We start from the raw sequence: 21,741 nt of genomic DNA on the forward strand, positions 1-21,741 counted from the left end.
TAAGTGCTCAGAGATTAGTCTCCCCTAGAAACCTTCTTTCCCCATGTCAGACCAAAAATATATAGGCGAACACTTAGAACATATTTGAAATTCTCCATATATAAGTCACCAAGTTGAATGATCTTCAAATAGAACCAATTTGCCTCTCTGTATGGTATTACCACCCTGAATGCTATGTGAAGTAAATAAATTTTTTTTAAATTTTACTTTTAAGTTTTGGGATACATGTGCAGAATGTGCAGGTTTGTTTCATAGGTATACATGTGCCATGGTGGTTTGCTGCACCTATCAACCCGTCATCCAGGTTTTAAGCCCCACGTGCATTAGGTATTCATCCTAATGCTCTCCCTCCCCTTTCCCCCCACCCCCTGACAGGCCCCAGTGTGTGATGTTCCCCTCCCTTTGTCCATGTGTTCTCATTGTTCAACTCCCACTTATGAGTGAGAACATGCCGTGTTTGGTTTTCTGTTCCTGTGTTAGTTTGCTGAGAATGATGGCTTCCAGCTTCATCCATGTCCCTGCAAAGGACATGAACTCATTCTTTTTTATGGCTGTATAGTGTTCCATCATGTATACATGCCACATTTTCTTTATCCAGTCTATCACCGTTGGGCATTTGGGTTGGTTCCAAGTCTTTCCTACTGTAAATAGTGCTGCAGTAAACACACATGTGCATGTGTCCTTATAGTAGAATGATTTATAATCCTTTGGGTATATACTCAGTAATGGGATTGCTGGGCCAAATGGTATTTCTGGTTCTAGATCCTTGAGGAATCGCCACACTGAAATTTTTAAAGGAGAGAACCAGTGTCTTCTTATTTAACATAAATAGATAAGAAACATGTGCATGATGGTATCTACTTAGCACCTTTTAGTTTAAGAAACACATTGCTGAACAATAACTACACCAGGCACTGTACTAGGCATTAACTATGCAAAAAATGCATAAGACTAAGACCTCACATTCTAGCAAAAGAAACACATCAACAAATGACCATAATGCAATGGGGTTAACTACCACAAGAGTTGCATAACAGAATAAAGCAAGCAACTAAGGCACCAAATGCCACAAAAAGACTAAACAAGATTTCAGTGGCCTACTCTAAGGTATTAAGTTCCCTCCCTTATTATCTCCAGTTGTATCTCCATTCTTAGAGGAGAATGCACCACGTTTTTTTTTCCCCCAGCTAGAAAAACTAAATGAGCAGCCCATAATAAGCTACATAAAACCTTTATTTCCAATGTTATCTTTATTCCAATCCAAACAACCTATTGTTAAGCTTTACTGTCATCACAGCTTAAAATATTTTCACTTTAGTGAAGAAAATTATTTCTGACTTGAAAAAAAAAATCTTGTTTATAACATTAAAAAACTAAATCCTGGTGTCAGAACAGATCTCACTGGAAAAAAGTTGTAATTACATTCCTGGTAAGAAATAAAAATGTGTTGGATAAACTCACTTAAAATGCTTACTAAGCAAGTACCTCCACCAAAGCAAAGAACAACTACTCCTCACAAAAATGAAGGAAAAGAAGAGAAATTTCATATTACCAAATTTTATTTCTCCAGCATCTTCCCTGAAATAAAAAGAATGGATACATATTCCTCTTAAAAATTTTCAATTGAGGCAGAAGAAAAAAAAATTATTTGCAGGAAACCTAGAAAAGCTATTATGAAATTATCTCACAGCCTTCCTCAAACAAACAAAACGTCTTGGCTAGAGTAGATGGTTGGAGAAAAAGGAAAAAAAAATGCTCTTAAGCCAAGAACTAGCCTACATTTTCCTTCATCCTTACTCTTTTATCCCCATATAATAATACACACCCAAAGCCCCTGCTCCCCCTCAATCTACACACATGCACACATCTTCCTCTCTCACTGTCTCACTTTCAGAATTAGATTTTTTACACTAGAAAAAAATATGAATATAATATTCACATATACTGGGCCGAATATTAAAGTTGATATCTATTTGGTTTTACTTAAAAACAAGATAATAGGTAACATGTTAAGGGGAGACTCTAAGAGTATGCCTTAATCTGAAAAACACAAGGGAATCTAATATATATTTTTTTATATTTTTTTTTATTTCTTTTTGAGATGGAGTCTTGCTCTGTCACCCAGGCTAGAGTGCAATGATGTGGTGTCAGCTCACTGCAACCTCCGCCTCCTGGGTTCAAGTCACTCTCCTGCCTCAGCCTCCCGAGTAGCTGGGACTCCAGTCATGCGCCACCACACCTGGCTAATTTTTGTATTTTTAGTAGAGATAGGGTTTCACTATGTTGGCCAGGCTGATCTTGAACTCCTGACCTCGTGATTCGCCCAACACAGCCTCCTGAAGTGCTGGGATTACCAGCATGAGCCACCATGCCTGGTCTACCCCATATACATTAACTAGCCACTCACTGAAAAGTCTTTTTCATAGTGAGAAAGATAACAGTAAGATAGTAAGAAGTTCTTATTAGCCAATTATCTGGCATCCACATCCTTCCATCCTCACCCCCAACCAAAATCTGTACCAGGAAAGCTCAAGAACCAGTAACATTCCACAGAAGCATTAAAAATAGAGGAGTAGAATCAAATCTTGTCCAGTGTTCTATCGCAAAAAGAAAATATATGAAGAGAAAAACTTACTTGCAGTATCCTGTGCCATTGTGGTAGGTAACACACATTCCTTCATTTACACAGGGTTCATAGCCATCTCGACACTGCAATGCTAAAAATAAAAACAAATGCACATTAGAAGTAAGTCACTAATCATAACCCTCAGACACCAAAGAAGTGTAATCCAATCCAGATCAGCATTCATTCCCACCTAATCTGGGTTTCTTTTTAGAGTTTTAATCAGTTTTTTATGTTCTGGCTTCTAGCACAGAAGCCCATCCCAAAACTATCTTCCAACAATAACCACGTTTGTGGTCTTGAATGATGCTCTTATTTCTCTGTGTTTTAGTATCTCCAGCTGTTACATCTCCATCTCCCAATTAAAAATTAAAGCCATACCATCTATGGCATGACACATCATCTTGGGATTTAGATACTTCAGATGAGTATTATAAGGATTCATCAATGAGTGTTTAGGAAAATGCTAGATAAATAATAGATCACCATTATACTGATGAATTACTTAGCCTTCAGGTGAAGTTTTAAAACAGACCGCTTCAAGAAGTAATCAGAAACAGCAATAACAGTAATTCGACAAACTAAAATTGAGAGCCTAGTATGCACCAGGCACAAAATTAGGATCCAGAAAAAAGGAGAAATGGAATACATAAATAAACGAATAAACATAATCTCTAGCTTTAAGGGGCCCATAAAAAGATGGGGAGTAGATCATGAATAGAGACTGCAGAGAGAGTATCAAAAGAAATAAAAGGAGAAGGCAATTTTATACATACAGATAAAACAAAAATTCTCAAACTGTTGATTCCCCCATTCCCTTTAAGAGACAATAAAAAGGCACTTTACCATCTGAGGCCCTCCCAAAAACAGACTTTTCAGAGAAAAGAACAAAAACAACAGCAATAGTAGACATTTTCATTGATTTCAGCCAAGAATGGAAGAAGTCTACTCGAAATCTGCCAATCACTTGCTGGATAATTACAATATCTTGATTGTTTAGCTTTTAGAGTTGAAATTTTCATCACCAAAATACATATCAAGAACCCTAACAACTGGAAAGGTAAGACAGAAAGAAACCTAGTCAAACAATAAATATCAAATTGAAGCTCATGAACTCTTTCTTGGAAGTTATTAAGATGTCCATCTCTTATGATAGTTAATGTATAAATACCTGAAAGCAAAACTGAGAAGTTCCCCCTCTCCAAGTTTCCTCTAACCACACCACTCTATGCATAAATTGTGCAAGATCAGAGAGACGCTAGGCCTGGCCATCCCTGGCCACGAAACCAGTAGCCCAGGTGCAAGCTGGATGTCAGAACAACTCCTCCAACAACAATTACTGCATAAAAGCCCAGTATTGTATCCAGTAGTAGAATCATTTGAGAACATGTTTACAGAAAATGCATCCCATCCTTGAAATAATATTTTTAAATGGTAATAGTAATAATAATAATAGGCTAACACATAGAACTTACTAAATACCAGGCACTATCCTAAGTACTTTACATAAATTAGCTAACTAATTCAATCTTCACAACAACCCTTAGAAGTAAATTTCATTATACCCACTCTCAGGTGAGAAAACAGGGAGGATAAGTGGCCTGCCTACTGCCATGCCAGTGAGTTAGAAAGCCAGAATTTGAATCCAGAGACTCTGCCCTTAACCACCAAGATACACTGCTTCCCACTACCTGAAATTTCTCAGGATTGGCAGCGTGGATATTATTATACCCATTTACCAATAGTAGAGGCCAGAGAGAATAAGTGGCCTCTTTATGGGGCATTGCGCCACTAGCTGGTGGCAGTGCTGGGCCTAGGACCCAGGTCTCAGTAAAAGTCCAACCCATCTCTATGACAGCTGTTGGGATCACACAAAGAGTCACCAGGCTGCAGGCCCAAACAGGCAAATTCAGGAAGAGGGTCATCTTGTTGTCCATATCCCACTTCCCTGTAAGGCTCAAATGCTCCCTCTTCCCACACTGATAAGCCCAATGCAACAACTATAATTAAAACAGTTAATGTCAGGTTATTTCCTCCATACCAAAGTTCTCAAACTGATTTTTTCATTCTCTTTAGACACTTTTATTAGTTTCAGTGAGAACTTCCGGGGTTTTTTCTATTTACTTTTTTTCTTTAAATAAAATAATAAATAAATAAAACCCTCACAGTAGGAAAGGAATGTCCTGTAGGCACAGAAAAAGCTGTAGCTCTGTCCCCCTGCAGGAATCCTGGTGCAGTGGAGGGACTCAGGAGACCTGAAATCCTGTCTGTACCCCTAACTGCAAGCAAAGCACAACTTCATGGGGGCTCAATTTCCCTACCTGTACCAAGCTGAGAGCGAACTAAATGTCCCTGAAGGTTCCCTGTGATCCACCAGCGACAGCTCCCTCCTTATAAGTACATGAATGGCATGCCCAGTGCCTGAAGAAACCTGGAGTACATAATGACCCAGCCACCCATGACTCAGAATGCCATGGGTGCAAAAATCACGGCCTGTTCCTATTAAGTGTCCTGACAAATCATTACAGTGACAGGTTCAGAGAAATACAAATAACCCAAAGTCAATATGTAGCAATCAATCTAGCAAATAACTTTACAGCCTAGCCCTAGTGAACCAATCAAACTCAGTGACTGAAAAGAAGGTGGGCTTACCAGGCTAATAATTAATGCCACTTGGCTGATGTGTGGGATCATGCTACCTTGAACCTTTAGCATTTACTGAGCCACGGTTCTCAAACTTTAGTAAGCATTGGAATCACTTGGAGGGCTTTTTAAAAAAGAGTGTTAGACTCGACCCCCACAATTTCTGACTAAGTCCGCAGGGAGCCTGGGAATCTGCATTCCTAACAAATTCCCAGGTGATGTTGATACCACAGGTCTGAGGAACCACACACTGACTATGACTATATGAACGCTTGAGTGTCCACTTTTAAAAATACTCAAAAGCTATATAATATAGAGGTCTTAGATGATTTAGATGATAACATATTGTCTGAATAAACAGGATGTGGAGAAATGGAACCCTTCTACTCTGTTAATGGGAATGTAAATTAGTACAACCATTGTGAAAAACAGTGCAGACGTTCCTCAAAAAACTGAAAATAGAATCACCACATGATCTGGTAATCCCACTGCTGCGTATTTACCCCAAATATTTTAAATCAGTTTATTGAAATGATGTCTGTACACCCATACCAAGTTATGGAAGTGTCCATCAACAGATGAATGGATAAATAAAAGGTGGTAGATAGGCTGGGCACAGTGGCTCACGCCTATAATCCCAGCACTTTGGGCGGCTGAGGTGGGTGGATCACGAGGTCAGGAGTTCAAGACCAGCCTGGCCAAGATGATGAAACCCCATCTCTACTAAAAGTACAAAAATTACAGCACGCCAGTAATCGCAGCTACTCAGGAGGCTGAGGCAGGAGAATCACTTGAACCTGGGGGGCGGAGGTTGCAGTGAGCCGAGATTGCTCCACTGCACTCCAGCCTGAGTGACAGAGAGAGACTCCATCTCAAAAAAAAAAAAAAAAAAAAAAAAAAAAAAAAGCTGTGGTAGATATATACAATGGAATACTATTCAACCTTTAGATATAAATTCTGTCATTTGAGACAACATGGATAGAATTGGAGAACATTATGCTAAGTGAAATAAGGCACAGGAAGACAAATACAGCATGTTCTCACTTATATGTAGAATTGAAAACCATCAAAATCATAGAAGCAGAGAGGAAAATGGTGGTTACGGAAGCTGTGGGCCTGATGATCAATGGGTACAAAAAGCTACAGTTACACAAGAAGAATTTTTTTGTATATGTTTGAGATATATTGCATAGAGTGGTGAATATAGTTAATAATAGGGTATTGTACATTTCAAAATTGCTAAGAGAGTAAATTTCAAAAAATGTTAAATATTTGAGATGAAGGATACACTAACTACCTTTTAATTGTTCTACATTGTATTAGCAAATTATAACATCACTTTGTACCCTATAAATGTATACAACTATAAATTGACAATTCTAATTTTTAAAAAAGAAAAATAATCTTGAGACTCGTGGCTTTACTCAGGAGCAAAAATGAATACTATAATTATCTTCCATACAAAGAGAAATTAAAACTTTGATAACCTGAAGCCATGAAAGTGAGACCGGGACAGACCTCATTTCAAAATTCAATTTACTTTTTTCCAATGTAAAACACTTAAATTTAACAATAAAATTGAAGGCAGCTTCATGCTTATAAAGTAAAAAAAGAAACATTAATCATACCATAGAGAATTGATGTTTAAACTGATGCTTTAATAGACTCCAAGAAACTAGTCACTCACAAAGAGTCACATTTAACCCCAATTTTCATGTCAATAAATATTTGCTGGCTGAAATAAATCTTATTTACTGTGTGTGTATCTGCTGTTTGTGCAGGCCCTCCTCTACTCCACCAAAAAAAAAAAAAAAAAAAAAAGCAAAAAGAAGTAGTAGATTTCAATCTCATCACTCCATCATTTGGCAATATAATACAAAAATCTAGAAGCCAATTTCCAATTTTCATACACTTTCAGTGCAGTGCATTTGGGAACTAGCTATCTAATATTCAGAACATATTTAGAAAGCATCTACTATCGGCAGGCACAAGCCCTGATGTCAGGGATACCGTAGTATACAGAATAAACTCCCTGTCCTCAGGAACCTTATTTCTATAAGAGAAAGGTGGCTAAAAAATTAATAAATAAAATAATTTAGGACAGTAATAAGCGATAAGTTCCATTGGAAACAAAACCCAGTAATGTATAAAAAGCAATCATGAAGGCTGGGGGTGCAGGAGTGTACCTCAGATAGTGTCTAGGAAAGGCCTCCCTGAGGAGGTATGCTTTGAGCTACAATGTAAATGAACAAGTGTCATGAAGATATGAGGGAAGAGCACCCCAGGCAGAGGAAACAACAAGTGTAAAAGCCTTGAAGTGGGAATTAGACTGGTATTCCAGGTTCATATGGCTAGAGGTTATTAAGCAAGGACAGAGGCCAGGGAGGCAGGCTGGGGTTAGATCACAAGAGCCCATGATAAGAATCACAGCTCTAAGTAGGAGAGTAAACTACTCAGCTGTTTTAAATAAGAAAAATGACACAGATTTATGTTTGAAAAAAGTCAAGATTATGAAATGGTCCAGTGAGTAAAAAGGTTTTTCTTTTCTTTCTTATATAAGCTTATTCAAGTCATCCCTTTTTAGACTAGACTGAAGACATCCATTTTCCCAGCTCCCCAAAATGGCAATGATTTTATTCTAACCGCATCTAACCTTCCAGAAGCACTACTTGTAACATGTTGCCCCACTACTTTCTAACCTACAAGGGCTGTCAGTTCTTACTTAGTTCTCAGAACTTAGCCTCAGTTTGGCTCTCTTAAGAACCAGTTGGGAGGTCTGTGCAGTACCTTCACACAGTACCAAGTTTGACACTTTTTCTTCCAAGGACAAGCCATTTCTTACTTTAACGAGTCTAGGCTCCCATGCTGGCCTTCCAGATCAGAGCTTACCTTACCTGCCCAGTATTACTCCCCACCACTTCCACTGCATTCTCTGCCCAGTTTATGCCCTCTTTACTGAACAGATCGTCATTGAACTCAGTTCCATTCCTCCATGCATGTCTGTGCTTCCACTGATTTCTGCCTTCCTCATTACTATCTAAATTCTACCCATTCCTTCAAGGCCCAGTTCACCTCTTGCCTCACCCAGAAAGCTTCCCCTGGAGGGTTCTGGTCCTCACAGGGCCACCACCCCCTATCCTTGTAACACTCATGACTCTCAATTCAGCACTACATGGTCTTCTAGCTCTCTGCTTTTTCACTTTTAAGTTCCTGGGATATGGAAAACATTTCGTCTTTTCTGAGTATTTGAAGCAATGCAGTTAAGCAGTTGAAAGCACGGATGCAGAAATCAGACAAATCTGGGTTTGAATACTAGCTCCACCATTGACTATCTCTGTATCTTCTTTGTGCTTGATATAGTTTGGCTATTTTGTCCCTTCCAAATCTCACGTTGAAACGTAATCCCCAATGTTGAAGGTGGGGCCTACTGGGAGGTGTTCAGGTTATGGGGGCAGATCTCTCATGAATAGCTTGGTGCCCACCCACAGTAATGAGTGAATTCTCGCTACCATGTGAGCTGGTTGTTTGAAAGAGACTGACATCTCTCTTGCTCCCTCCTCTCTTGCCATGTTACATACCTGCTCCCTCTTCACCTTCAGCCATGAAAGTTTTTTGGGCCCTCACCAGAAGCAGATGTTGGCTCTAAACTTCTTGTACAATCTGCAAAGCTATTAGCCAAATAAACCTTTTTTCTTTATAAATTATTCAGCCTCAGGTATTCCTTTAGAGCAATGCAAAACAGACTAACATACTTCTTTTAAAAAACTATAGCACTGAAGGCATAAGGAGAAGTGATCCACTAAAGGTAAAATAAACAATATATGTGAGCAAAAACTCAATTTTAATACAGTTCCACTAATATTTGTCGAGAAACTACTGTCAGCATTGTCCCCTACTAGGCACTGCATGAAAATTAAGCACAAATAAAACAAACAATCTCTGTCCTCATGGTCCTTACAATCTAATGAGAAGTTGGGAGTAGGGGCAGAGAGAATGTGACCTACCCAAATGACTCTAAGATAAATACAAACAAAATAAAAATTGCCAATATATACCCTTGGCATACCCTCTTAATACCAATCTTGGAATCACTCCAAAAAGAACTTTTAAGAAATACAATATGAACCCTTGATGTTTAGCACTAACTGTAACTCAATCCAGACAAGGCTCTTTTATTTATTCAGGTTTATCAGCCCCAATTGTACATAAAAACTGCAAACAACAGAATAAGCTGCCATTGATTTTAACCAGTTCCAGCGCCTCAGAAATTTATTCATTTAAGGATAAGGCTAAGGTATCCAGACTTGATGGAATCTTCCTTAAAATTTCCTCTAGGCATTTACCTAAGTTTTCCAATGCTTTTCACTATCATACCAGCTACATATCACTGGCTTAAAAGCCTCCCTTTGTTTTAGGAATCTCTAACATGAGTAATTAAGTCTGTACTTCAGCCAGTGTAATCTGAGCAGCCTTCAATGTGTTTTACTTGTTGCATTAACATGTAATCGTTTTAAACTGGCATTACTTGTTGCTTTGTAGCTTCTTCAAATAAGCCTCTGTCGTCTATCTCACATGATTTTTTTCATATCCTTCTCCCTATGTGCAGTGTGGTATCTGTGCTTAGACCCACTGCTCAATCGGAAGGTATTTTAACGTCTTGACTGTCTGAGGCTCCTAAAATACATGAAGAGGAGTTATACAGGCTCTTTTAACTTTTTCTTCAATGTTTATGCAAATTTCAAGTAGCAATATTTGAGAGATGAAGTCTGAGTTTACGCCCTAGGATCTTGGCTGTGGTTGGCTGCTGTTGATTCTGGCACATGGCCTCTGGAAGAGGCTCAGTAAAATGAACAAAGCAAAGTTTTCTAAAATGACTGCCTGCATTATTACCAAAAATAGGAGAATTGAGGGCAGACAAGGAGACATCAGGGATTTGCAATAATTCTCATAGCGCCCTGCAATTTCAAACAAAACTTTCTCTAAATTTTGTATTCCATTTTTTGGGATCAAGCCATGAAAAAAAAATCCAAACAAACAGAAGAAGTGCGGAAGCTTCAAATCCCAAGTGGTACATTTAAATAAAAACGAAGTGGAGAAACATCTGTCTTCCTCCTTGAAATTTGTCTTGATTAAAAGGAAAAAAAAAAACAAAAAAAAGCAATAAGAGATAAATCGATTTTGTTTTCCTAATAGTGTTCCAAGGATTTATGTGCTCTTTACAGATATTATCATATAGAAAGTGTGTTTTCTACCTAAGAGATGCTAGTATCAGATCCAGATATTAAGAACTGGGCTATAGGGTCATAGCAAATTATTACTGCTTTTCAAAAACTGAAAATATACCTTAAGAAAATATAATCAATGATAACAACTTATAAATGAATATTTTTTGTATTACTAATAGACTTTTCATACTATAAAAAAATCATTCCAGTTAGCTGATAAATCTAGAATAATTTTTGGTTTTAAAAATTCCAATTTTGTTCTATTTTATAATATTGAACTTATTGCAAAAAAAATTCATCAGTGTTTGCTGTGCTATATTGAAATCTACTATATACTGTGTAGTTTTTCCTTTTATTTTTCTCTTATTAAAGACTTCAGAAAAAAATTCAATTTATGCATGGGTTAAATTTCAATACCTGGATCTTGGAGATGAGACTAATGTATTCAGCTCTTCTACATGAAATATAAGGTTTGAAAAATCCACAAATACTTACAAATTAGGATGTAGCCAATTTGCTAATAATGATCACCTCTATACCCATGTACATTCTTTTACCTGAAAAATATTTTACCTCCTTTTCCTTTTTCTCTATCTTGCTAAATTCCTACTATATTTCAAATCACAGATAAAGCATTATTTTCCTGAAGAAGCTCTCAGAGACCCACTGATACAGATGTTCCTCTTCTGTGCTCCCATTTTATCCTAAGTAGATGTATTATAAGTGCTGGCTCACTCATCTCTCTCTCTCCCACTTCTAGGCAAATTCCATAGAGGCAGTAACCACAATTGGCTCCTCTTTGTACACCTGGGACCTAAGAAGATGCCTGGACCACAGCAGGTACTCAATACTCAATAAGATATTCAATAAACTAAATATCTATAATTAAGACAAAACCTAAGAATAAACCCAACCTTCAGCTTGCATGTTTATGTGTGGAATTTCACTTTGTGTAACAAATTAGAAAAGTAAAATAAGAAAGAACAAAATGCTGCAAATTTCCAGGCCTTTAACAAGGATGAAAAGTTGAGAAAGTAGAATTGTACTTTTCTAATCTTTGCAAAACTGAAACAGTTTTGAAAGTTCCTTTCTTACCATTTGTTTGAATGAAGATACACTCTCCACTCTTAGCCTCCTATAAATCTTAAGCCATGTGTATTATGGTAAAAACTAGCTGAAATAGGTTGAATGGAAGCCAAAATAATTTACATCTAAATGAAAAACAGAAAACAGAGTAATAAAAAAATTCCAACTGAATGGGAAAATTCATTGTATAGTATTATCTTCCCCATGAGTAGGTTCACTAATACACATCGGCAGAACAATAAGCACCAACGAGATCCAAATGACACTGACCAACATGATCACAGTTTACATGTCCAAAAGGTTCAGGATCTCAGTGTAATAAAACCCAACAGAGAGGAAGAAGCTGTATCATATCTAGAAATTTAATTATTCTCTACAAAAACTGCTATATATTTGTGTGCTGCTTAGTGGTCAAAGAAAGTGAATATGAAGTGTTATTCCATGTCTTGTCTTATATCTTGTATTATCTGTTCTGTTCCACTATCTGTATTTGTACTATTATCAAGACAAATTTTGCCTGTCACCAATTTCCTGTGCTTTTAGAAAACTCCCTTTTTAAAGCTTTTTTTTTTTTTTTTTGAGATGGAGTCTCGCTCTGTCGCCCAGGCTGGAGTGCAGTGGCGCAATCTCAGCTCACTGCAAGCTCCTCCTCCTGGGTTCACGCCATTCTCCTGCCTCAGCCTCCCGAGTAGCTGGGACTATAGGTGCCCGCCACCACATCCGGCTAATTTTTTTTGTATTTTTAGTAGAGACAGGGTTTCACCGTGTTAGCCAGGATGGTCTGGATCTCCTGACCTCGTGATGCTGGGATTACAGGCGTGAGCCACCGCGCCCGGCCTTAAAGCTTTCTAAAGATTATTTTGTTAAGTACAGCTTAGTTTTTTTAAGTCCTTAATTTTAAGTACACGCTTTTAAGTACACTTGCTGGAAAAAAATTTATAAATATATATAATCTTCTTGCTATACACCCAAAAGAAACAACATATTCTTTTAGCTTAAATTGCTCAGGACACTTTTTAAATGGAGTACACAATTTCTCATGTTTGTTAATTTAGAGGTAGACACCCAAACAGAATGAATAACAAAATTATGTTAAAAATGAAAATGGAAAAACCTAAGATTGCTACATATTATTATATAAAATCATGGATACTTCCTAAAACAAAACAGGGAAAATCCAAAGAACAACCTCAGATTTCCCTACATGCATCCTTCCTCATAGCCTTTTTAAAACATCCTTGGGTGGTAGCAATGAAGGCTACTCACAAGGATGGGGACAGAGGTCATCAGGGATACCATAATCAATGTACTGTGCAAAAATAGTGCAGAGGAGATTGGTTAGTCCTACATAAAGTCCAACTACATGTATGGCTAACTATTCTCAAGTCAGGGTTCGCAGAAGCTAAGGTCCTAACATTTGGATTATTTTTATATTATTATCTGGATCAAATAATATGCCTTCAGCCAAAATCAAACTCTGTTCACCTGTGAATAGTATTCCTGTACCCAAATTCCTGTACACATCACTGAGAATTGTCTAAACCCAAGTGCCTCAAAAGGTCCTAAACCCTTGACTCATAGCCAGGATATTTCTTTTATTTTATTATTATACTTTAAGTTTTAGGGTACATGTGCACAACGTGCAGGTTTGTTACATATGTATACATGTGCCATGTTGGTGTGCTGCACCCATTAACTCGTCATTTAACATTAGGTTCTAATAAGCTCAGAAACTAGCACTGTGAGGGAAATATCTAAATATGGAGATTATAAATGCCTATCATTGCCATTTCCAGAGAACACACCTGAGGCCAAAAACCTTGGAACAGAGGAAAGCAGATAATAGAAAAATATCAAATCTTTATTAAATACCAAAGGGAGAAGAAAACATAAAATATAGCCCTAAACGGCCAGGCGCGGTGGCTCATGTCTTTAATCCCAGCACTTTGGGAGGCCGAGGTGGGCGGATCACGAGGTCAGGAGATCGAGACCATCCTGGCTAACACGGTGAAACCACATCTCTACTAAAAATACAAAAAAAAAATTAGCTGGGCATGGTGGCGGGTGCCTGTAGTCCCAGCTACTAGGGAGTCTGAGGCAGGAGAATGGAATGAACCCGGGAGGCGGAGCTTGCAATGAGCCGAGATTGTGCCACTGCACTCCAGCCTGGGCGACAGAGCAAGACTCTGCCTGCAAAAAAAAAAAAAAAAAAAAAAAAAAAAAAATATATATATATATATATATTCCTGAACTTCAATTTTTATTTATTTTATTCTCCCTTGCTTTGTTTCTTCAGACATACAGCTATGTCCCACATCAACACAACTTGGGTCTCCTGGTCAACAGAAAAAAATAATAATGTGTACTTAATGATATTTGATGAGGAGCTGATAATCTCAATGTCCAAATCAGTTCCTCTTAAAAACGCCAGTCCTCCAACTCCATCAGCCTTTTGATTACTCATATTCTTTCTTTATTGTAAATGCAAGCAAGAATTTATCTTCAAGACTACTCAGATTTCTGCAGAGTTGTAGCAGTCATTTTAATAAAAAAGCAGCTCAACACACTAACAGTCACAATTTGGTTTGCAAGTGCTCACAATCATTCTATTTGCTCATCCAGTTGTTGCTGGAATGACAAAGACAGCAAAGACAGAAAATTTTGTATATATTAAGTGACCATATTGGAACTTAAAACTTTCCATGTTTGTGTCTTTAAGCACAGAAGAGAACTCTAGGTTTCTCCATTTGCAGCAACACCTAATTTGGCAAACTCAAAAAGTTACACTGTCTTTGATAAAGGCTTTCTTTGTTCTAGAGAGGTCAAAAGATTTCTCTCCAGCTTCAGCCTGAAGATCTCGGATCAAAAGAAACAATATAAATTCCAATATATTAAATTTTAAAATGGGGGGTAAGCCCTAGAAGGGGTATTGGCTTTCTTGAGCCCAGTGCTTCCCTGATTCTCACAAATGAGTAATAAACTGCTAAAGAAAGAGAGAGAGAGAAAAGAAAGAAAAGAAAAGAAAAAAAAGAAAGAAAAAAAGAAAAGAGAGAGAGGAAGGGAAAGGGAAAGAGAGAGGAAGGAAGCAAAAGAAAGAAAGGAGAGAGAGAAAGGAAAGGAAAGGAAAGGAAAGAAAAGGGAAAGAGAGAAAGAGCAAGCGAGCGAGCGAACGAGCAGATGCCCTGGCCTACCTTCCATTTCATCTGCTTTGTTGCCACTCCTGTCTGGAAGCCTAAGGGAATTCCACCAGAAGACAGATTCTGGAGCTAGGCAACACCTAAGTGAGGTCTGCTCCACCTAGCTTCAGCCCAGCTATAATACCATGGTAAGTGCTTGAAAAATGTCAGCCAAGCTAAACTGTTAATGAGCAGGCCCAGTAGTTTTCTATCTTCCTCCGAGAGAGGATAACCAAGTCTTTAATTTCCCATAAGACAAAAAGAAAATCTGCAAAATTACAGTTTATTCTAGTCTTTAATGGTAACAATGACCTGGCACAGGAGATATTTCCATCTCTTTTGTTTATCACTCTTAAAATTCTCTCTTCAATAAAACTCCATTCTACTTTAGGGACATGGGAGTGACACTCATGTTGAACAAGAGGGACTTACAAAGGGAGTTTTACCAGTTTCACCACTTCGGGCCCAGTGGGAATGTCCTTCCCATCATCACCTCATCACATTAACAAGATGAAGTCCTTTGGAAAACCAGTATAAAAGCAAGGAACCCTCAGTTCAAGCAAAGGGACAAAGGATTTAGTAAATGTGGTTATTAGTGTAGTGTTGGTGATTAAGTAATATTTCTCCTCCTCCCCACTAAAGCACACATTACCTCACTGAAAATATTAAAACCAATGCATTGTAATCACTTTGGCTATGAGCCTAAATATATGTTACCACATAAAGTTTCAAATACAAAGTTTTACATTAAAAAACACTAAATAAATCTAGTATCCTCCCCTCCCCCAATCCAATGTAATCTGGCTTTAAAATTGTTAAGAAGAACAAGTTTATAAATTTGAGCACAGTGAGTTTTTGTGTGTGCCCACCCACCTCCACGGAAAATACCCCAAAAGCAGCAACCTTCAGAAAATACAAGACTTTACTCTCAAGGAGTAACTCTAATGTGAGTTCCAGAAGATAGCCAGCCATATCCTAAATCAGTTGGCTGGTCAGTTTCTTCAAGTAAAATGAGAGTAACAGGCACCTATGCTACCTGAAGATGAAGCTAATAGGGCATCATGAAGAAAAGCAAGGCATCTGATAGTACTCCATACAATATATTTAGGATTAACATCTCAGCTTCTAATAGGCAGGGATTTTCAGCTGATTTCCATCTACATTCCTCCACCCAAGTCTACAAAGCATTCTATGGCTTGTGTGAACACCTCAGCCAAACAAATCAGAAAGTCAGCTCACAACCCTCTATTTCTCACTCCTGAGAAGGCTGCTCATAAACAGTGATCTCATTTGATCCCCACAACAACACTATGAGGCATGTAAATTGGTATTAGCACCATTTTACACAAGAAACTGCAACTCAAAGAAATAAGGGCCTTGCCCAAAGTCACACAAATCAAGATGTCTGAACCAGGACCAGAGCGCAAGTCTTTTACCTACTGACCCAACATTCCTTTCACTCACTACATCTGTAAATACGCAGTTAGAAAAACCTGATATCCACCATAATCTGCAAACTTCCATAATATACATTTGTGACTACAACATTCTCAGGTGGGTAACCACCCACATACCAGCTATGCACATCAAAAACATTTACACGAAAGATCAGCTAATGACCTGCTTATTAAAACAAAACCAGGACTTGCTTATCAAAAACAAAACCAGGGACAAGAGGGGCTGCCAATGCTGTATCTCAGAACTACCACTCATACACATGCCCTAATGACTAACACCCATTGACTAGCATCACCCCTACCTACACAACAAAAGAACCCCACTTTTGAAAACTTGCCAACTCTAGGATTCAACATACTACACTATGCATTATTTCTCCAGGAAAAAAAAAAAACTACCCTATGACTGAAATTGTTTAGAATTTTTTCTTTGTAAAATTGACACTGACAAGATACCATCTCTTCTCAATAATAGAGTAGCAACACAGGAGCAAAAGGAAATTATGGAGTTAGAGATGGAACCAGATCATAAGTATGATATACCCTATCTTGACAAGATTTTACTCTTAAAAATGAAGGCCCTATTAAAAGTAGGTAACCCATCATCATTTTATCCAAGTACCCATAATTCAATTGATTAGAAATAAATCCCTCCAAGAACACATCTGCAGTTAAGTTAGTGAAAACTGAACTACTGAACAGAGAAGCATGGCCTGCTGCTCAGAGAAGACGGGTCATAACTAATGTGGTAAACCAAAAATGCCATAAGAGATAAAGTATTTTCTTCATCTGGTCTGCTTCTCTCCAACTAAAGAAATCAACTCAGAGGGGGAAAAAAGACAAAAACTCACCTTCCCAAACCAACAAATAAACTATCCAGACACATACCCTTCATGATGTTGAATCCCAATTTAGGAAACCTCAGACAGCTCAGAGCACTGTCTTATCCACAAGGCTGAGAATACAAGACTTTTGTCCTCCAAAATTAAAAGTATAAATTTTATCACTAAGTTTGGTATACTGTCCCACAAAATGCCACCTTATTCCATGTCCATACCACTAAAGAACTATAGAAAATAATGACATATTAAAAAAGATCACTCCTCTGTTTTCCTTATGGCATTTTTATTATCTGACACATATAGCAAATGTGGATCTTGAAATGGGAGATAAATTAAAATAAAGTTTTAAACTATAATAAGTCTATAATAAATAATATACTCTATAAATAAATTATCAAAATTCAGGGTATTTGGTGATAGAAATCTAAGGAGGAAATGAATTTTTGAAATGTCTCAGGCCAAAAGAAAACTAAAAGGCTATAATCAAGAAAGAAAGGAGATGGGCAACTTCTTTTTAGAGCCCCACTTCCGAAAGAACAGCTGTCTTTGCTCAGCTGTAGGAAAACCACAGGACTTGGAATAACTCACTTCATGTACTGTCCTTCTTATGTTAAAATGACACTGTTGACTCACCCTCAGTAGGATATGTGCTTGGTTAAACTTGTTTTTCCAGTAACAGTAATGAACTGAGTTACTCTACTATTGAAATGATTTGCACCGCCACAACTGAAAAAAATATTTGGAAACACCTACATATCTAGTATGCATGTCCTTGAGTAGTAGGTCTGGTTTGACTATGCAGCCAGAGCTTTATCCTTCTTCAGAGTCTCTCCACAAATGATGATCAGTGTAACAAAAGAATCTTTCACTGCATTTGCTCAGTGAATCATTGTCTTAGCTAATAGCTAATCCCCACAGTCCTGGGCTTCCAAAGTCTGAAATGAAATAAACTGTCTAATTTATTTTTCTTACTTTTAGTTACATGTACTGCTCAAATTTGGGTGATACTGCAGAAGGCCCACACCAAATCCACAACCCTTGCATGCAGCAGTAGCATTCAACAAGGTCCTGTAGGACACTCTGGTAGATTCCCCCTTCTACTGCTCTGTCATTTCTAGCTTACTTGCTAGTTAAGGTGGAAAGACTTTAAAAAAAAAAAAAAAAAAGGAGCCTTTACCAAGCCCTAACTCTAGCTTATGAACCAAACTAATCATCATATGGGTGGGAAGGCTTAATAACTTCAAACAAGGATTTTTACTTATACCAACCCAGACAATGAAAGGGAGGGTTGTTAGTTCTCCTTAGATAAAAAACAGTATTCCCTCTTAAGGAGAGATACAACCTAATTCACATATATCTTCTATCTTTATCTTTTCTACCTCAAGTATACAGTTTTTTAATTGAAAATTTTAACTCAAAAATTATTTTGCAAAGGGATATTTGAAACGTGGGGAGTAAAAGATAAGCTACAAACAAAAGAACAAATATCTTAGACATTAAACTCTTCAATTTACATTCTGGACCAGTGGTCTGCAAAATTAGGTGTGTGTACCCCAGAAGCAGGGGAGGTGTAAGACCATCCACTGGGGCACTGGAAGAAATTTTAAAACATCTCCATATTTATGGGCTAAAAAACATATAAGCTTTACTTAGAGTTAACATATGCATACATGGTTTAATAGCCAGACATTTATATAATGTATAAATATGTATTTACTTGAGGAAGCGTTCATGCTTTAAAAATGTTTTTCTTGGGGTATACATTTTTTAAGGGTTTGAAGGGTCCTGCTTTACCCCCAGATTTCACAAAGTAGGATACATATGCGCTCAAGAGTATACAGTATGCCAGAAAAATGCAAAGAAACTGGATAAACCTGGTATATCTTCCTGGCATCTCTATTTCACTCACTCTAGGGTAAGTGACATTCATTCTTCCCTATAATCAGGTGCTTTGGAAGACACCTCTGGCTAACATGTCATTAGGATAAAAGAGGCCACAAAATGATGGCCTGGATTCTGGGTTCTATGCCTGGCTCTCTATCTTCTAGCCATCTGACCAAGGGCCAATCACTTCGCACTTCCAGGCCTTTCCAGCTCCTTCCTACTCAAATTTTGCGATTCACAAGTTAAGTTTTTCATCCCATCTTTAGTTGCTTCATGGCCCTGCACATGTCATTCTTCTAATTAGAATGTAACAGCCACTCCTCTCCACCAATCTCAGCCTCCTTTCCGCTCTCCAATGAGGCCTTGACTTTGCATTCCCTCAGCTTCCCATGATCTGTTTATATGATGTGAAAGGGCACTTTCTGGAAGGCTCTGTAAGTGTTCTCAGGTTATTACCAGTGTCCCCCAGTACTTCTGGACAGACTGTAGAGCTCCTTTGGCTAAAGTGCTAGAGGCAGCATTCTGCATGGGGGACCAACATGTATTATCACCTCACCATGCTGAAAATCTACAGCCTGGCCCCTGATCCAAATCAGCAATATACTAATATTAAGGAAAAAGTAACAGAAACCAAAATCACCCACCTAATGAAGATATATGATCTAGCAAAAGAAAATGAGGCTGAGAACATCCACAGGTAAGCCAGGCTATGAGGAACATCGCTCTGAACTCAGCAGGAACAAAATGAGGAACCGGGGAGAGTACAGAGAAGTGTTAACTCACACTGGTAGGATGCCCCTTCTCACTCAAAACAGCTGAGTTCATATCCCAGGCATGGCCGCTGTATCAAAATAATTAGTAATTAAACAAGTTAATATATGCAACATGCTTACAGCTTGGCACTGTTAAGATTATTACCCTCTTTCCTTCAAGCACAGCAGAACACGAGAAATGTCACATCTTTATCTGCAGACTTTGGGGGATCCAAGGCAGAATTTTCACCTACTCAGAGCAGGCTGAGATTCAACTTCCCTTTTCAGGTTTCATCGACATCCCTGAAGGTTCCATAGCATATCTGCCATCATGTGGAAAGATAAAATTCAATTCCCAGGCATTCCCAGGTGCACTTCTAAGGAAGTGGTATGGTGTGAAGAATAAAGCAATGGACCAAGGGCTAAAAAGTCAGACATCTGGCCTGGCACAGTGGCTAACACCTGTAATCCCAGCACTCTGGGAGGCTGAGGCAGGTGGATCATTTGAGGTCAGCAGTTCAAAACCAGCCTGGCCAACATGGTGAAACCACGTCTCTACTAAAAATACAAAAAAATTAGCCGGGTGGTAGTGGCACACCCCAGTAATCCCGGCTACTCGGGAGGCTAAGGCAGGAGAATCGCTTGAGCCTGGGAGGTGGAGGTTGTGGTAAGCCAACATCGCACCACTGCCCTCCAGTCTGGGTGACAGAGTGAGGCCCTGTCTCAAAAAAAAAAAAAAAGTCAGTCATCTTGTCTTTGTACTGCCACTGACTATTTTTGTGCTCTTGAAAAATTACTTTACCTTGGTTTTTTTTTTTTTTTTTGAGATGCAGTCTCTCTCTATTGCCCAGGTTGGAGTGCAATGGCGTGATCTCAGCTCATGGCAGCCTCCGCCTCCCAGGTTCAAGCGATTCTCCTGCCTCAGCCTCCTGAGTAGCTGGGATTACAGGTGCACGCCACCATGTCCAGCTAATTTTTGCATTTTTTTCCGTAGAGACGGGGTTTTGCCACATTGGCCAGGCTGGTCTTGAACTCCTGATCTCGTGATCCGCCTGCCTTGGCCTCCCAAAGTTCTGGGATTAACAGGCATGAGCCACCATGCCCAGCTGAAAAATTACTTACCTTTCTAAGGCCTACAGTTTGTAATCTGTTTTTAAAAAGTGATTAGATGACATATAGTCCCATAGCCAAGAAAATAGTAGCTTACCAACATGTTTTACTGTGACCTACAGTGAGAAATATATCTTGTACCAGACCTCAATATTCACATATATACGTGCATAGCAAAAACAAAAATTTCAAGAAACAATGCTTGTCCATACTATGTGATACTCTCTATTCTACCCTTTTTTCCCCCAAAGTGCTGTTGGAGACCTACCAAATTGGTTTCATGACCCATTCGTGGTCATGATCTGCAGTGTAAAAAACAATGGACTAAAGCATGCAGTAAAGAATGTGGCTTGGCAATTAGACAGGCCCAATACCACTTTTTTTTTTTTTTTTTTTTGGAGACAGGATCTTGCTCTGTCACCCAGACAGATGTGCAGTGGCATAATCATGGCTCACTGCAGCCTCAACCTCTGGGGCTCAAGCAATCCTCCTGCCTCAGCCTCCCAAGTAGCTGGGACCACAGGTGTGCACCCCCACTCCTGGCTAATTTTTTTATTTTCGTAAAGATGGGGTCTTGCTATGTTTCCCAGGTTAGTCTCAAACTCCTGGTGTCAAGCGATCCTCCTGCCTCAGACTCCCAAAGCACTGCGATTACAGGTGTGAGCCACCAAGCCCAGCCCCAGCACCACTTTTAACTAGCTGCATAATCTTGGGTAAACTACTAACCTTTCCAAAGTACATCTTTTAAATTAAGACTAATACACCAGGGTTTTTTCTAAGGATTAGATGAGATAATGTATGTAAAGCACTTAGCCACACTGTGTCTGACATAAAATACACACTCAATAAAAAGTTATAGTGATGACTAATAACATCAATATTATTATTATTAAATTCAAGAATTCCAAAAGAAAGTAAATTAAGTGGAAGAAAGCTAGAAAGA

At 38.4% G+C, this 21,741-nt stretch overlaps 1 protein-coding gene across 2 annotated transcripts in view, besides 2 other annotated features; it reads right to left on the reverse strand.

The window, feature by feature from the left end:
* Positions 1 to 21,741, reverse strand: part of NOTCH2 (notch receptor 2) — a 158,110-nt gene that overhangs the window by 115,718 nt on the left and 20,651 nt on the right. For both annotated transcript variants that reach the window (NM_024408.4, NM_001200001.2), the window contains exon 2: positions 2,636 to 2,717. In NM_024408.4, the coding sequence (NP_077719.2) occupies positions 2,636 to 2,717 (82 nt within the window). The remainder of the gene's footprint in view (positions 1 to 2,635; positions 2,718 to 21,741) is intronic.
* Positions 14,381 to 14,882: an enhancer, noted in NCBI's record as "H3K4me1 hESC enhancer chr1:120584275-120584776 (GRCh37/hg19 assembly coordinates)". NCBI's record gives its function as "activates a minimal SCP1, AML or CMV promoter by ChIP-STARR-seq in naive H9 embryonic stem cells {active_cell/tissue: H9 hESC(naive)}" and the evidence as "EXISTENCE:reporter gene assay evidence [ECO:0000049][PMID:30033119]".
* Positions 14,883 to 15,382: an enhancer, noted in NCBI's record as "H3K4me1 hESC enhancer chr1:120584777-120585276 (GRCh37/hg19 assembly coordinates)". NCBI's record gives its function as "activates a minimal SCP1, AML or CMV promoter by ChIP-STARR-seq in naive H9 embryonic stem cells {active_cell/tissue: H9 hESC(naive)}" and the evidence as "EXISTENCE:reporter gene assay evidence [ECO:0000049][PMID:30033119]".

The sequence above is a fragment of the Homo sapiens genome, chromosome 1 (assembly GCF_000001405.40).
Source record: "Homo sapiens chromosome 1, GRCh38.p14 Primary Assembly".
Lineage (NCBI taxonomy): Eukaryota > Metazoa > Chordata > Mammalia > Primates > Hominidae > Homo > Homo sapiens.